This window comes from Homo sapiens, chromosome 1 (genome assembly GCF_000001405.40).
Source record: "Homo sapiens chromosome 1, GRCh38.p14 Primary Assembly".
Classification (NCBI taxonomy): Eukaryota; Metazoa; Chordata; class Mammalia; order Primates; family Hominidae; genus Homo; species Homo sapiens.
Window position 1 is genome coordinate 224,010,769 of NC_000001.11, and position 17,864 is coordinate 224,028,632.

At 41.3% G+C, this 17,864-nt stretch overlaps 1 pseudogene across 1 annotated transcript in view, besides 2 other annotated features; it reads left to right on the plus strand.

Annotated features, from left to right (window-relative positions):
- Positions 1-17,864, plus strand: part of SEPTIN7P13 (septin 7 pseudogene 13) — a 41,130-nt pseudogene that overhangs the window by 18,039 nt on the left and 5,227 nt on the right.
- Positions 792-1,486: an enhancer, noted in NCBI's record as "OCT4-NANOG hESC enhancer chr1:224199262-224199956 (GRCh37/hg19 assembly coordinates)". NCBI's record gives its function as "activates a minimal SCP1, AML or CMV promoter by ChIP-STARR-seq in naive H9 embryonic stem cells {active_cell/tissue: H9 hESC(naive)}" and the evidence as "EXISTENCE:reporter gene assay evidence [ECO:0000049][PMID:30033119]".
- Positions 1,487-2,180: an enhancer, noted in NCBI's record as "OCT4-NANOG hESC enhancer chr1:224199957-224200650 (GRCh37/hg19 assembly coordinates)". NCBI's record gives its function as "activates a minimal SCP1, AML or CMV promoter by ChIP-STARR-seq in naive H9 embryonic stem cells {active_cell/tissue: H9 hESC(naive)}" and the evidence as "EXISTENCE:reporter gene assay evidence [ECO:0000049][PMID:30033119]".

The window sequence follows — 17,864 nt, forward strand, 5'->3', positions numbered from 1 at the left end:
TGTGAACAAAGATTTTTTTATACCAAACCAAAATTATTTATTTCTACTCCACTATTCTATCATGGTGCATTTTAGGTGCTAATGGGAAAAGGTGCTCTATGATGGTGTCCAATAGACAATTAAAATTCGAATCTGGAAATGAGATCTGGACTGAAGATTTTTTTTAAAATTAGCCCTCATCACATGTAGTCAGCTGTAGAAATCCTTAGCATGGCTGAAATTTTTCATATTAAGAAAAGACTAGAACTTGGCCAGGTGTGGTGGCTCACACCTGTAATCCCAGCACTTTGGGAGGCTGAGGTGGGTGAATCACCTGAGGTCTGGAGTTTGAGACCAGCTGACCAACATGGTGAAACACCATCTCTACTAAAAATACAAAAAATTAGCCAGGCGTGGTTGCACATGCCTGTAATCCTAGCTACTTGGGAAGCTGAGGTAGGAGAATTGCTTGAACCCAGGAGGTGGAGGTTGCAGCGAGCTGAGATCGTGCCATTGCACTGCAGTCTGGGCAAAAAAAGCAAAACTCCGAAGAAAGAGAGAAAGAGAGAGGGAGAGAGAAAGGAGGAGACAATGAGAGACAGAGAGAGAGAAGGAGAGAGAAAGAACAAAAGAATGAATGAACGAACAAACTAGAAATCGAGCAGGAACCTTGGAGGACCTATTGCTTAAGGTGTGGGCGAAAGAAAGTAAGTTAGGGCAAGAGACTAAGGTATGCCAGAGACCCAGGACAAAACACAGTGCAGAGTGATGTCACAGAGCCAAATGGGAGTGCAAGCTATGGCAAGCCCTCCCAAGTATGTGTGGGTTAAATGTGATTAAATTCAAAATCTCTCAACCCAAAAATTTTCTCCACAAAGGAAGTAGAGAAACAAAACAGTTCATTATTGAATAAGCATTAAACCAGAATGTGATGTGTGAATATAATGGAATGGAATGGATTCGAAAGAAATGGAATGGAATGGAATGGAGTGGAATGGAATGGACCCGAATGGAATGGAACAGAATGGAATGGAATGGAACGCACTCGAATGGAATGAAATGGAATGGAATGGAATGGAATGGAACGGACATGAATGGAATGGAATGGAATGGAATGGAATGGAATGGAATGGAATGGAATGGACACGAATGGAACAGAATGGAACGGAATAGACTCGAATGGGATGGAATGGAATTGAATGGACTCTAATGGAATGGACATGAATGGAATGGAATGGACTCAATTAGAATGCAGTTGAATTGAAAGGATCCAAAAGGAATGCAATGGAATGCATTGGAATGGAATGGAATGGAATGGAATGGAATGGAATGGAATGGAATGGACTTGAATGGGATGGACTCTAATGGAATGGAATGGAATGGAACTGAATGGAATGGAATGGACTTGAATGGAATAGAATGGAATGGAATGGAATGGACTCGAAAGAAATGGAATGGAATGGATTCAAATGGAATGGAATGGACACAAATGGAACCAAATGGAATGGAATGGACTCGAATGGAATACAATGGAATTTAATGGAATGGACTCTAATGGAATGGAATGGACTAGAATGGAATAGAACGGAATAGACTCGAAAGGTATGGAATGCAATGGAATGGACTCGAATGGAATAGAACAGAATAGACTAGAATGGTATGGAATGCAATGGAATGGACAAGAATTGAATTGAATGGACTGGAATGGAATGGAATGGAATGCAATGGAATGCACTTGAACGGATTGGAATGGAATGGAATGGAACGGAACGGAACGGAACGGAACGGACCCGGAATGGAACGGAACGGACCCGGAATGGAACGGAACGGAATGGAATGGAATGGAATGGAATGAAGTGGACTCTAATGGAATGGAATGGAATGGAATAGACTCGAATGAAATGGGATGGACTCGAATGGAATGGAACGGAATGGAATCGACTCGAGTGGAATGGAATGGAATGGAATGGAATAGAATGGAATTGACTCAATTTAAATGGAATGAAGTGGAATGAACTCGAATGGCATGCAATGGAATGGAATAGAATCGAATGGAATGGAATGGACCCAAATGGAATGGAACGGAATGGAATGGAATGGAACGGAATGGCATGGAACGGAATGGAATGGATTGGAATGAACTCCAACGGAATGGAATGGACTCGAATGCAATGGAACGGAATGGAATGGAATGGAATGGAGTGGACTGGAATGGAATAGAATGGAATGGATAGGACTGGAATGAAATGGAATGGAATGGACTCAAATGGAATGGAATGGAATGGAATGGACTCAAATGGAATGGACTCAAGTGGAATGGAATGGAATGGACACGAATTGAATGGAATGGAATGGACTGTAATGGAAAGGAATGGAATGGAACGGAATGGACTCGAATGGAATGGAAAGGACTCGAGTGGAATGGAATGGAATGGAATGGACTCGAATGGAATGGAGTGGAATGTATGCGAATGGAATGGAATGGAATTGAATGGATTCGAGTCAAACGGAATGTAATGGTATGGAATGGACTCGAATGGAATGGAATGTAATGGAATGAAATGGATGCGAATGGAATGGACTCGAATGGAATGGATGGAATGGAATGGAGTGGAATGGAATGGACTCGAATGGTATGGAATGGAATTGAATGGACTCGATAGGAATGGAATGGAATGGATTGGACTCGAAAGGAATGTAATGGAATGAAATGTGCTGGAATGGAATGGAATGGAATGGAATAAAATGTAATGGAATGGACTCGAATGGAATACAGTTGAATTGAATGGACCCGAAAGCAATGGAAGGAATGGAATGGAACGGATTGGAAGGGAATGGAATGGAATGAAATGGAAAAGACTCGAATGGAATGGAATGGAATGGAATGGAATGGAATGGAATGGAATGGAATGGAATGGAATGGAATGGAATGGACTCGAATGAAATGGAATGGACTCGAATGAAATGGAATGGACTAGAATGGAATGGAATGGAATGGAATGGAATGGAATGGAATGGAATGGAATGGAATGGAATGGAATGGAATCGACTCGAGTGGAATGGAATGGACTCGAAAGAAATGGAATGCAGTGGAATGGACTCGAATGGAATGCAATGGAATGGAATAGACTCGAACGGAATGGAATGGAATGGAATGGAATGGAATGGAACGGAATGGACGCGAATGAAATGGAATGGAACGGAATGGACTCGGATGGAACGGAACGGAATGGAACGGAATGGAATGGAATTTACTCGAATGGGATGGAATGGAATGGAATTTACTCGAATGGAATGGAATGGAATGGACTGAAATGGAATAGCATGGAATGGAATGGACTCGAATGCAATGGAATGGAATGGACTCGAGTGGAATGGAATGGACTCGAACGGAGTGGAGTCGAATGGATTCGAATGGAATGCAATGGAATGGAATGGAATGCAATGTACTCGAATGGAATGGAATGTAATAGAATGAAAATTACTCGAATGGAATGGAATGGAATGGAATGGAATCGAACGGACTTGAATAGAATGCAGTTGAATTGAATGGACCTGAAAGAATGGAATGGAATGGAATGAAATGGACTCGAATGGAATGGAATAGACTGAAATGAAATGGAATGTACCAGAATGGAATGGAATGGAATGTACTGGAATGGAATGGAATGGACTCGAATGATATGCAATTGAATGGACTCGCATGGATTGGAATGGACTCTAGTGGAATGGAATGGAATAGAATGGACTCCAATGGAATGCGGTGGGATGGATTCAAATGGAATGGAATGGAATTGAGTGGATTTGAATTGAATGGAATGTAATGGTATGGAATGGAATGGAATGAAATGGACTCGAATGGAATGGAATGTACTCGAATTGTATGGAACGGAATTGAATGGACTCGAAAGGAATGGAATGGAATGGAATGGACTCGAATGGAATGGAATGGAATGAACTCCAATGGAATGGAATGGACTCGAATAGAATGGAATGGAATGGAAAGGACTCGAGTGGAATGGAATGGAGTGGAATGGACTCGAATGGGATGGAATGGAATGGAATGGACTCGAATGGAATGGAATGGAATGGAACCGAAAGGAATGGAATGGAATGGAATGGAATGGAATCGACCCGACTGGAATGGAATGGAATGGAATGCAATGGAATCGAATGGGATGGAATGTATTGGAATGGACTCGAATGGAATGGATAGGAATGGACCCGAATGAAATGGAATGGTCTTGAGTGGAATGGGATGCGATGGGATGGGATGGGATGGGATGGGATGGGATGGGATGGGATGGGATGGGATGGGATGGGATGGAATAGAATGGAATGGAATGGAATAGACTCAAAAGGATTGGAATGGAATGGACTCGAATGGAATGGAATGGACATGAATGGAACGGAATGGAATGGAATGAACTCGAATGGAATACAATGGAATTTAATGGAATGGACTCTAATGGAATGGACTTGAATGGAATAGAATGGAAGAGACTCGAATGGAATGGAATGGAATACAATGGAATTTAATGGAATGGACTCTTAATGGAATGGACTTGAATGGAATAGAATGGAAGAGACTCGAATGGAATGGAATGCAATGGAATGGACTCGAATGGAATGGAATGGAATGGAATGGACTCAGATGGAATGGAATGGAATGGACTCGAAAGGATTGGGATGGAATACAATGGAATGGTCTCGAATGGAATGGAATGCAATGGAATGGACTCAAATGGAATGGAATGGAACTGACTCGAATGGAATTGAATGGAATGGACCCGAATGGAATGGAATGGAATGGACTGGGCTCAAATTGAATGGAATGGAAAAGAATGGAATGGAATAGAATGGACTGGAATGTAATGAGTTTGGAATGGACTTGAATGCAATGGAATGGAATGGAATGGAATGGACTCAAATGGAATAGCATGGAATGGAATGGACTCAAATGCATTGGAATGGAATGGACTTGAATGGAATGGAATGGACTCGAATGGAATGGAGTTGAATGGACTCATATGGAATGGAATGGCATTGAATGGACTCGAATGGAATAGAATTATAACAGAATGGAATGAACCTGAATGGAATGGAATGGAATGAAATGAAATGTGCTCGAATAGAATGGAATGGAATGGAATGGAATAGAATGGACTCGAATGGAATGGAATATAATGGAATGGGAATGGGAATGGAAGGGATGGGATGGGATGGGATGGAATGGAATGGAATGGAATGCAATGGAATGGACACCTATGGAATGCAGTTGAATTGAATGGACCCGAAAGCAATGGAATGGAATGGAATGGAATGGAATGTACTCGAATGGAATGGAATGGAATGGACTCGAATGGAATGGAATGAACTCGAATGGAATGGAATGGAATGGACTCGAATGGAATGGAATGGAATGCACCCAAATGGAATTAAATGTAATGGAATGGACTCGAATGAAATGGAAAGAATGGACTCGAATGGAATGGAATCGAATGGAATGACATGGAATGGATTCGAATGAAATGACATGGAATGGATTCGAATGGAATGACATGGAATGGACTCGATTGGAATGGGTTGGGATGGAATGATCTAGAATGGAATGGAATGGACTCAAATGGAATAGAATGGAATAGAATGGACTCGAATATAATGGAATGAAATTGGCTCGAATGGAATGGAATGGACTTGAATGGAATGGAATGGAATGGAATGGAATGGAATAGAATGGAATGGACTCGAATGGAATGGAATGGAATGGAATGGACTCGAATGGAATGGAAAGGAAAGGAATGGACTCAAATGGAATAGAAGTTAATATGGAATTACAAACCACAGTGATATAACACACATGCATGAAGATTTCTAACATGCCATCCTAAATTAAGTCACTGTATCAGTCAGAGTCCAAGTATAGGAAACAGTCACTACCCATGCAAACCTGAACAGACCTTCATACAAGGGAGCTGAGGCATCCACAGCCTGCAGCTCTGTCTTCTAGTCTTGCAGGCATTCATTTAGTTAGTGGAAGCATATCTCCTCCCAGAGCCCAGGCTGCAAGAGTCTGAAATGGAGCTTTTAGCTTTCCAGCCTCTGTATCAAAAGGGCACACCAGAAAGAGGCTAGAATGAATGGTTGGGCACTAACAAATATTTTCACAACCTAAGCCCATACTCGCAGTTGTTTGCTGAACAGACAATCAATAAATCAAACAGCCCTTCCATGTAGAAATTAAGAAGGAAACACAACACCAAAACTCATTATTAAATAGCATTTTGTATTTGAAAACTCATTATTAAATAGCAAATAAATTGCACTAAAATACAAAATTGTAGAATTTGTATTCTGGGAAGCCACAGTAACAAATCCCTGTGACAGAACCCACGAAGTAGAGGTCTCCTGTGGGAATGATGACCGAGGCCCTCGCTGCTGCTCCACCTGCCCCTACAGGGATGCCCTGCTTTTCCAGTTGCCCTTACTCTGATGTGCATCATGGCAGGAAAAAGTGGGCTGCTGCTTTCCTTTAATGCTTTTTGTCCCACTTTATTTTTTACTTTTGCCTAGTATATCTTTTCATTCTTTTATTTCCAACTTTTGTAAATCTCTGTTTTAGGTGGGCTTCTTATGTACAACTTGGAGTTGGGTTTCACTTTTTGATTCAATCTGAAATCTTTTACCAGCCTTCAGGTTATGTGTATAAAGTTATGTGTTTACATGTATAGATACAACGTTTGGTCTTACTTTTATGACATGTTTTTGTAGCTTTTTGAAAAAGTTTGCGTTCTCTCTGTAGTTCTTCTGAAATTTAGAAATGTTTGCACTATTTTGTACTAGGGGTTACTTTTGGAATTTTAACTCTATGTAATTCCCTCTCCTTCGGAATCCTCATACAACACATCTTAGCCTGTTAGTTTCCTGTTCCACATTGTGATAAAACTGTCATTCATCTTGCTCCTTCTTCCTTCCATCCCTCTCCTCTACAACTTGATTTTAGTGAATAACATCTTAGTGCCTCCCTGTGATTATAGGTGAGACAGTCAACAAACCTCTAACCACCGACCTTTTTTTTCTCCTCTGCCCTCCACTCACACTCTGCTCCATCACCCTCAGCCACACAGCTGACGCTGTAGAGATTCACTGACATCCAGTCTGATGGACACTGTTTCTCCAGCCGAAACTGCTCATGAGAACAGTGAGTATTCCCTGAGTTCTCACATGATCAATAGTGTTTGTTTGCAGACTGGATACAAAAGATGTTTTGACTGGACATAAAATTCATGGGCCATTCTTTCTTCCTGGAGGATCCCATAAGTAAGGATTACTCCACTATCTGAAGAATTTGGAGAAATTTGAAGCCACCCTGATCTTTTCCCTCAGTAAGAGATGACATGTTTGTTTACCCATTGGGAGGTTCTTGCTTCATCTTCAGAGTTTAATAATTCCTGTAGGATATGGCACACTCATAACCTGTTCTCAGTCAACCTTCCCCAGCATAAAATTTGCCCTCTCACAATGTACACTTCCATCTATTTTTACCTGAGCAGAATTTTCCTGAACATTATCTTTAAATATTTGTTCTGTCCTTTTGTTTTGTTTTCCTGTTTGAAGATTCCAATGATAAATATGCTGGAACCTCTCTCCCTGTTCTCTTCAGCTGTAATTTTCTTTCTAGTTCCTTTTAAACTCAGGATTACGGTTTAATTCTTATTAATTCTCTCATTCGTATTTTTCCATCACCTTTTTTGTGTTTCCCAAAACATCTGTCTTCTCCTGGGCCCTTCCAATCGCACCTTCACCTCTGTGTTGGTTCTCCTGGCTGCTGCCATCCTTTCTTCTGCCAACTTGACTTTGTCTCCTGCTGTCTCACTTGGTTGTACAGGTTGAGCATCCCTAATTCCAAAATCCAGAATCCTCCAAACTCCAGAACTTTTTGAGCATGGACATGATGCCACAAGTGGAAAATTCCATACTTGACCTCATGTGATGGGTTGAACAAAATTATTAAAAATACTGTATAAAATTACCTTCAGGTTATATGTATAAGGTGTATGTGAAACATACATGAATTTCATGTTTAAGCTTGTATCCCAAGTTATCTCATTATGTATATGTAAATATTCCAAAATCTGAAAAAATCCAAAATCTAAAACACTTCCAGTTCTAAGCATTTGGGATAAGGGATACTCAACCTCATTAAAATCTCTTTTCTGTTTTGTGGCATTCCTGCACTGGGATCTTCTGCCACAGAACTGCTTCATGAGTTTCCTGTTTTTTTCATTTATGATGAACTGTCTGGTCATGATTCCATCCTGCTTCACAGACACATTTCCCACAATTTCCTTAGAGAATATCCATGCAGTGATGGTCACCTTCTCTAACAGGCATTTCAGAGTGAGGTGGGACTTCCTAGGGCACCTGTTTTGCAGATGCCCTCAGGGTGGGGGAAGGGCAGCTTCCAGCCTTCCCAGTTCCAGCACTCTCTCCCCAAGCCGCTACCTGCATGTGAATCCCTGGGAGACCCCACAGCCCATGTCTCTGAGTAAAACTGGATCCAGGAAGCCCTTTGCTGTCAGTGGTCCTCCCTGGAACTTCTGCACTCTGCAAGCTGGAGTTGAACATCTGCGACTCAGCCTCTCAGTGCACAGGGTATGTGGGGCTCGACTTCTAGACCTGGCCCTGACGAGTGCTTTTGTTAGCCTGAGCCCTTCTGCTCAGTTCTGCCTATACTATCACTACCCAGGCTTAGCTGCTTTTGGTAAGCCTCATGCACATTTTAGAGTCTGTGAATTGCATCTGCCTTTTATTTCTCTGAAAATGGAGTTTTTCATCCCTTCCTTCCAATTCTCCTTCCAGCCTTTCTTGATTTCCAGAATGAGAAATCACTAAGTCATATACTGAGCCACAAATAACATTATAAATGTGACAATTACATGATAATCTTTGGGGGAAAAACATTCTGTGATTTCTAACATATTTACATAAAAATATCTTACACTAAAACACACCAGTTGAGGGCACTGGCCAGAGATAAGATTAGGTTAGGCCAAGCAAAGCTGAGAAGACCATTGTTAAAATTTCAATCCTGTTCCTTTATCTTTTCAAATTAACTGAATATTGTTATTAAATTTCTTGTTTTAGTGTTGAATAGCACCCCTTTTCCCTGCTTCACTTTAGAATCAATTTAGAGACAAAGGATTCAGGCCAACTGAGGTTATCAGCATTATCGCTAATAATAGCTGGACTGGCGGATGCGATTCAGATTCACACAACAATGGATTTCCTAATCTGAATCCTAGACTGAGATGAAGCCAGCCAGCCATAAGCATTGCTTAATAACCAAAGCCTCCCCAGATAGGCTTCTTGCCCTACAGCACTGAAGACATGAAAGAAACAGACCAAAATGTACAAATATCTTTTATTCCTCAAAGGAAAAAGAAGAGTTACACATGCCTGTTTCTCACCAATAAGAGGGGTCAGGGCAGAGTGAGTCTGGGAGAGAGAGTTCTACCACCACGGTTCCCAAAGCATCGTCTAGGGGCCTGTTAGGGGAGCCCGAGGTCTAAACTATTTCCACAGTTTCACTAAGATATGATTTTCCTTTTCCATCCTCACATTCGTTAGTGTGCAGTGAAGTGCTCCAGAGGCCCCAGCGTGCTACATTACAGAAGACTGAACTCAGGAGAGATGAGGAATAATCCCCTCCATCACACCAGACACCAGGAGGGTGTGCCAAGGTGTGAGACATACAGTCCTTACTCTTTTTTTGTTTTGTTTTGTTTTGTGAGACGGAGTTTCACTTTTGTCCCCCAGGCTGGAGTGCAATGGCCCGATCTCGGCTCACTGCAACCTCTGCTTCCTGGGTTCAAGCGATTCTCCAGCCTCAGCTTCCCGAGCAGCTGGCATTACAGGTGCATGCCACCATGCCCGGCTAATTTTCTGTATGCCTGGCTAAGTTCTGTATTTTTAGTAGAGACAGGTTTCACCATGTTGGCTGGGCTGGTCTCAAACTCCTGATCTCAGGTGATCCGCCCACCTCGGCCTCCCAAAGTGCTGGGATTATAGGCATGAGCCAATGCACCCAGCCCAGTCCTTACTTTTAAATAAATGGAGAAATATTTTAAAAATTGTTTTAATTTCTAATGTGGCAAACGTTAATAGATATAACTCACATGACCAAAATCTCTTTGGGGTCCTCAGTAATTTTAAAAAGTGAAAAGGACCCCTGAGACAACATTTGGGTTTGGAACTGCTGCTCCACTAGGGGAAGAAATACCAGAACAGAGAATATGTGTTCCCTGGGAGATAAGGCCTTCCCGACTACCTCCTCTCCTATCATCGAAATAAGTTTTCTACATTTCTTTAATATCATGTTTTAAAATTCCTTTTAAAAGACTGAAATCATCAGCAGAAGGCACGGGATTAGCTTAGCACAGTCAGTTTAGACTAGTTACCCACAGAGGACTACAGAATGGACATCACGAGGCATACATAAGCATAGAGGTGAGAAGGGCCGTGTTCATAGTTGACAAGATTACATTTCAGGTTAAACTGGTAACTAAGATAACAGGGAAAAAGACAATTAACAAAGAAACTGTAATCGTCCATAAGCCTAATTAGCCATAAAGCAAAGTCTGTTGGGAATTTAATGAACATTTGTTAAAAACACAAATATTATAGGAAGTTTTTTATACAGTCATGGGTCGCTTAACAAGGGGGATACAATCTGATCCGAGAAATGCATTGCTAGGTAATTTCCTCATTGTGTGAACATCACAGAGTGTATTACACAACACCTACACAGCTAGGCTACAGACCTATACAACATATTAATGCACTGAACAGCAACTGTAACATAATGGCAAGTATCTGTGTATCTAAATATATCTAAACATAGGAAAGGTACAGTAAAAAAAGGAAACAATCTTATGTGGCCACTACACTACACGCGGTCGGTCATTGACCAAAACATCGTTATGTAGTGCATGACTGCATATCTCCTCAAATCTGACGATTCTAAACAAGTAAAGATGTGGAAGAATTAGATAAACAGAAAGAAAGTACATCCTTCAAATAGAGAATCTGTATTTTTTTCACACATCAATAGAATATTTACAAAAATCAATTATAAAGAAGGCCACAAAGGAAAACTTAATCATTTCAAAGAATTAGAGATCTTAAAGGCCAAACTCTCTGGTGGTAATATAATAAAACTAGAATTCAGTAAAGTTAAATAAAATCACAGCTATTTGAAATTCGAAGTCCACTTCTGAACACCCTTGGATCTGGGAGCAAATTGGCACTGCATGTGTGCCTGGGCTCCTGAAGGGCCTCACATACATGGGGAAGGGCAGAGAAAGAGAAACAACAACATCCACTACCTCTATTTTTAAAGTCAGCCTTACTACAAAATACAGAAAGTATTCTTCACTGGGCAGACCAAATCAACTTTGCTCAATCTTCGCCTTTGGGTTCCTTTAGATTTATAATGAACTGTAAGCATTTACTGAGTGATTATTATAAAGGCACCATTTGAAGTACCTGATGCCCTTTTAATGCTGTAATGCCCCTGTGAAGTAGGTCTTACTATTATCCCTGCTCTAGAGATGAGAAAACTGAGGCAGGAAGAGTTGAAGCTGGCCCCAAGGCCACACCACTGAGGAGGGAGGGGCCAGACCTGGAGAGCAGGGGGATCCCACAATCTGTGCTTCTGCCTTCCTGCTCTGCTGCTTCCCAGCTAGTGTGTGTGCTGGACACAGCCCTCAGTGATCTCAACTTTGATTATCTAATTTTAAAAAGACTTCTCAAGTTTATTGTCTTTTACAAAAAAGGGATGTAATCTAGCAAGCCAAAGCAGAACCAAGCAGACTTTGTAGTTTTCATCAATTTTCTGGACGCTCCAGCCACTTTCCTCAGGTCCTTTAGCAATGTGTGGACTGCCCGCCCACCGCTGCCCCGAGGTAAGGAAGCACCACACTACAACCTCATGCAGGCTGGATTAAAACACGTCCTCCACTTCAGGCTTAGGAACCAGCGCCCCTCCTACAGCTCACAAGTTGCTCAAGCAGTGGTCTGTGAGAAGTGATTCTATTTTTGGGGTTGTCCCTTTTCTCTGCTTTTCTTGGGAACCATTTTGACTCTCTGTCAAATGTTCACTGACTTCTAGCACTGGCAGAAAGAACGTCTGCTTTTTTATCTGAAACTGAACTGTTACACAACTTATAATTTTATTTTGGTAAAAGCATTCTTAGTTGCTGTGTTTAGTCATACTCTACAAATTATCTTGTTGGTAGGATAAATATGGTGAGAATTAAAAATGAAGATGGTAGTGGATATTTGCAGACTATTATCAATACCGGCATTTCAAACTTCCAATATAATTTGGATATTTGCCTGGAGGACAAACTTTTTTTGGCATGCCATATAATGAGGAGCCTTATATTCCCAGTGTGCTCAAACTGCCCTGACACCACCTATCCACCGTCGTCAGCAATCTATGTTCAATGTTTCTTAAAAACATCAGTTACAAGGTCAAATTTAATTCAACTGAGGTCAGACTCTCAGGGGAGCTGAGGAGCACTTCCTTCAATGGAAATGGCCGTTTCTGAGTGGTGACAACACTGTCATTTCTTGGACCTTCTTCAACAAATCTGTTCTCAGGAGCATTAACATACTTTGCTAATACATTTTAATCTGGCATTTTTATGGGGGTAATTATAGGAAATGCCTGGAATTAAATAGCCTACAACCAATTCTTGGATCAACAATTAGGAAAACTGAAAAATATATATGTAAATATATCTTTTTCTGTATAAGAAAAGTCCTGCTAACTTAGGAAATTAGAGGATATCTTTGTGTAGAATCTTTTTATAAAGTGGAAATAGGACGGGCATGGTGGCTAACGCCTGCAATCCCAGCACTTTGGGAGGCCGAGGCAGCCAGATCACCTGAGGTCAGGAGTTCAAGACCAGCCTGACCCATATGGCAAAACCCCCTCTCTACTAAAAATACAAAAATTAGCCAGGTGTGGTGGCAGGTGCCTGAAATCCCAGCTACTCAGGAAGCTGAGGCAGGAGAATCACTTGAACCCGGGGGGCGGAGGTTGCAGTGGGCCAAGATTACACCACTGCACTCCAGCCTGGGCGACAAAGTGACTCTGTCTCAGAAAAATACAAAATAAAAAAATAAAGTGGAAATAACTTCCTCTGCTTCTAGCTATGCAGTTTGCTTGAAAAAAAAAAAAAAAGTAACCTGTAGGTGCAGTACAACTATCAGCACAAATGTAATTATCTTAGAGTATCTTAATAGTTCCTACTTCAAGTAGAACTTATGAAGAAGTTTAACTGTGGTAAAAAAAAAAAATAATTGGAGTAACTTAGAAAACATTTATGTATACAATAGTTGGTTTGTATGCTCAGTCACTCATTCATTTTAGGAATAACAAGTGCCTACTACTTGCCAGGTGCTTGGGATATAGCAGGGCCTACTGAATAAATTATTATACAACAGTAAATTAGCATTGGATTGTGTTGCTTAAAACAACACTCACCAGAGCAAACAAAAGCCTGATTAGCAATATGATCTGAAATTTTAAAAACAGCCCTTTTCAACAGTTCCATCTAATTTGCCAGGTCATTATTTTATAATGTCATATGGGATTGCTGGGTCAAATAGTATTTCTGGTTCTAGATCCTTGAGGAATCACCACACTGTCTTCCACAGTGGTTGAACTTATACTCCCACCAACAGTGTGAAAGCGTTCCTATTTCTCCATGTCCTCTCCAGCATCTGTTGTTTCCTGACTTTTTAATGATAGCCATTCTAACTGGTGTGAGATGGTATGTCATTGTGGTTTTTATTTGCATTTCTCTAATGACCAGAGATGAGCTTTTTTTCATGTTTGTTGGCTGCATAAATTTCTTCTTTTGAGAAGTGTCTGTTCATATCCTTTACCCACTTTTTGATGGGGTTGTTTTTTTCTTGTAAATTTGTTTAAGTTCTTTGTAGATTCTGGATGTTAGCCCTTTGTCAGATGGATAGATTGCAAAAATTTTCTCCCATTCTGTAGGTTGCCTCTTCGCTCTGATGATAGTTTCTTTTGCTATGCAGAAGCTCTTTAGTTTAATTAGATCCCATTTGTCAATTTTGGCTTTTGTTGCCATTGCTTTTGGTGTTTTAGACATCAAGTCTTTGCCCATGCCTATGTCCTGAATGGTATTGCCTAGCTTTTCTTGTAGGGTTTTTATGGTTTTAGGTCTTATGTTTAAGTCTTTAATCCATCTTGAGTTAATTTTTGTATAAAGGTGTAAGGAAGTGGTCCAGTTTCAGTTTTTTGCATATGGCTAGCCAGTTTTCCCAACACCATTTATTAAATAGGGAATCCTTTCCCCATTGCTTGTTTTTCTCAGGTTTGTGAAAGATCAGATGGTTGTAGATGTGTGGCGTTATTTCTGAGGCCTCTGTTCTGTTCCATTGGTCTATATATCTGTTTTGGTACCAGTATCATGCTGTTTTGGTTACTGTAGCCTTGTAATATAGTCTGAAGTCAGGTAGTATGATGAAAAGATTATAAATCATTCTACTATAAAGACACACGCACACGTATGTTTATTGCAGCACTGTTCACAATAGCAAAGACTTGGAACCAACCCAAATGCCCATCAGTGATAGACTGGATAAAGGAAATGTGGCACATATACACCATGGAATACTATGCAGTCATAAAAAAGGATGAGTTCATGTCCTTTGCAAGGACATGGATGAAACTGGAAACCATTATTCTCAGCAAACTAACACGAGAACAGAAAACCAAACACCACATGTTCTTATTCATAAGTGGGAGCTGAACAATGAGAACACATGGGCACAGGGAGGGGAACATCACACACCAGGGCCTGTTGGGGGGGTGGGGGGCTAGGGGACAGATAGCATTAGGAGAAATACCTAATGTAGATGATGGGTTGATGGGTGCAGCAAACCACCATGGCATGTGTATACCTATGTAACAAACCTGCACATTGAGCACATGTATACCAGAACTTAAAGTATAATTTAAAAAATTTAAAAAAAAGTCATATGACGCATTTAAGAAAGTCACTTAATTTACATCAGAGGAAAATCAAAGTTTATAGACTTAGGAAATAAAGTCGTAATGAAAAAGCTCTTCACGGCTGTCAGGACAGCTACATTTTTGGTCTCTGTCCTTGATTCCATTGTGACCTTCAGCCCATCTCTCTGGGCCCCATTTTCTTGTCTTTACCTCTTGGGTCATAAATGGATCTCCGTGCAGCTGTCATCCCTCTGCCTAAATCCTCCTCAAAAGAAAATCAAAATAGTGGCTAACACAGAGTACAGACTGTTCCAAGAGCTTCCTATGATGGAACTAATCTAATCTTTATAACAGTGCTCTGAGGTAGATGCTAAAATCTACCAGATACTATGGATGAGATGATGAAGTCATATGCTTAAGATCCCTGAGTAAATAAATAAGAAAGAGACAGAATTCCAACAGCGGCCGTGTGGCTGCAGAGCCTCTCTCCCTCCCTGCCTCACCCTCGAGTCCACGCCTGGGAGGGCTCAGGGTCACTCACTAAGCATCTTTCCCATGCGCTGCTGTGAGGCTGCTGCTATTAAGTTGCTACTATGGAGTAGTCATTAGTAGAAATTGCGAAAAAATTTGAAAAAAAATCTTCATATAGCCAGAGATTCTAGCCTGAGATGTCTTTCCTTATTTGCTTATTATTATTTGTAAAAACAGGGTCTCCCTATGTTGCCCAGGCTGGCCTCAAACTCCTGGGCTCAAGTTATCCTCCTGCCTCGGCCTCCCAAAATGCTGGGATTGCAGGCATGAGTCACCGCACCTGGCCACCTTTCCACATTTAAGAGATCCCTGGGATACTGCGAAGCAGGAGTCCATCTCCAGACATGAGGAGCAGATGGGCTAAAGGAAACAGGACTGGGGAGTCTTGGAGGGGCAGAGCAATGCCCAGGGACACAAACTTTTGAATAAAGACAAGAGAGACCGACTCTTCGCCTACCTCTAAAGCAAATGAAAACATAAAAATAAATGATGGCAAGAAACTAAACTAAAAATACACTACCCCTGAAAGTATGTGACACTGGATGTACTATCTAATTGGTCTGCCACAGGTAGAGAATGAAGTACTTCAGATAAGTTAATTTATCAAATAACTAAAATTAGATATATAAACTTTACGATTCTGAAAACTTTTTTCCTACAGATGTGTGTACTTTAGGAAACACAGCATATTTAACATTTTTATAAATTTCAGTTGCACACCGTGCAGCTTTCAGGAAGCTTTCACACCGTGCACTGCCCTGCATGCACCTCCCAAGCCTCGGGCTGTTCATGCCTGGCTGTCAGAAGTCACCTCCTGGCTGCCAGAGGGGCAAGGGGGCAGGCTGTTCTTCTCAGTGCTATAAGCAAGCCCAGGACTCCAAGGGAATGATAACAAATGTGTAAAAACCACAGTCACATTAACCTATAGGCTCAGGACCCAGTTCTACTTCCTCCAGACAGCTTTTGGGTACTGGTCTCCCTCTCTGTGTTTACAGCCATCCTGGGTTTGCTGGGCACCTCCGAGTTCATGGAAGTGCAGCTCCTCACTGCAGTTGGGACACACTTACTCCACTTTGACAAAGGGGGTGTTATTTTCAGCAGTAGGTGAACAGCAGTGAACAAACCAAGCCCCTGCTCCTGGGGCTCAACTGGGATGGGGACGCAGACAACTTAAACACGTGACCACTGGCGTACCTAAGGGCCAGGGAATGCTGCTGACATGATGGGGGTGGCGAGGCCAAGGTCCCAGCCAGGTAGGCTTGAGTTGGTATTGCTACAACCTTGTGATCACTGGCAAACAAGATTTCATGGTGGGAATGTGACTAGAACTGGATTTCAAAGTTTCCTGAAAGCACTAGTTAGAAAAGACAAGGTACACTGATCTGCACACAGGAGGTGCTCAGCGACGCCAGCACTGATGGGCTCCTCCTGCCTTGAGTGAAGAGCATCTGCCCCTGGACAGTGAACAAAAGGTGGGGCCATTTTATGCCTCCAACAAGACATCTGGCTCAAACTCAACTTCAAAGATTAGAGTAAAAACGAAACTTCCATTCCAAACTACTTATCTTTATTTTGGCAACTGGAACAATCTGTAATTGAACACTAAATTCTATTACTAACTTTTATCCTAAGACTGTGTAGTAATTATTGATTAGTCTCAGTTTAAAATTGCTGTTTAGATGGAAAAAATGATTTTACATAAAACATTAGTTGAAAGATACAAGCTGGGCATGGTGGCTCACACCTGTAATCCCAACATTTTGGGAGGCCGAGGCAGGTGGATCACTTGAGGTCAGGAGTTCAAGACCAGCCTGGCCAAAATGGCGAAACCCCATCTCTACTAAAAATACAAAAAAGAATTAGCCAGGCATCGTGGTGCATGCCTGCAATCCCAGCTACTCAGGAGGCTGAGGTAGGAGAATCACTGGAACCCAGGAAGCAGAGGGTGCAGTGAGCAGAGATCGTGCCACTGCACTCCACCCTGGGCAACAGAGTGAGACTCCATCTAAAAAAAAAAAAAGATACACATTAAGTTTTTCACACAAATTCTTAAGGGCAGATATTACTAAATGCCATTAGAAAAAAGGAAACCTTTTATCAAGTATTTTAAAAAAATGCTTCTACATTTCTTATTTATAGGTATTCTAATAATACTGCATGACATTACGGACAACTTAGCCTAAATTATGGAAAATCAAATTACTTAGTAGAACTGCAAGACAATCCTCTCAGTTGTTGTAGTAAGTGTTGCTATAAACATTTAAAACAGCAAAAAAATACCAAATACCTGCACAGTATG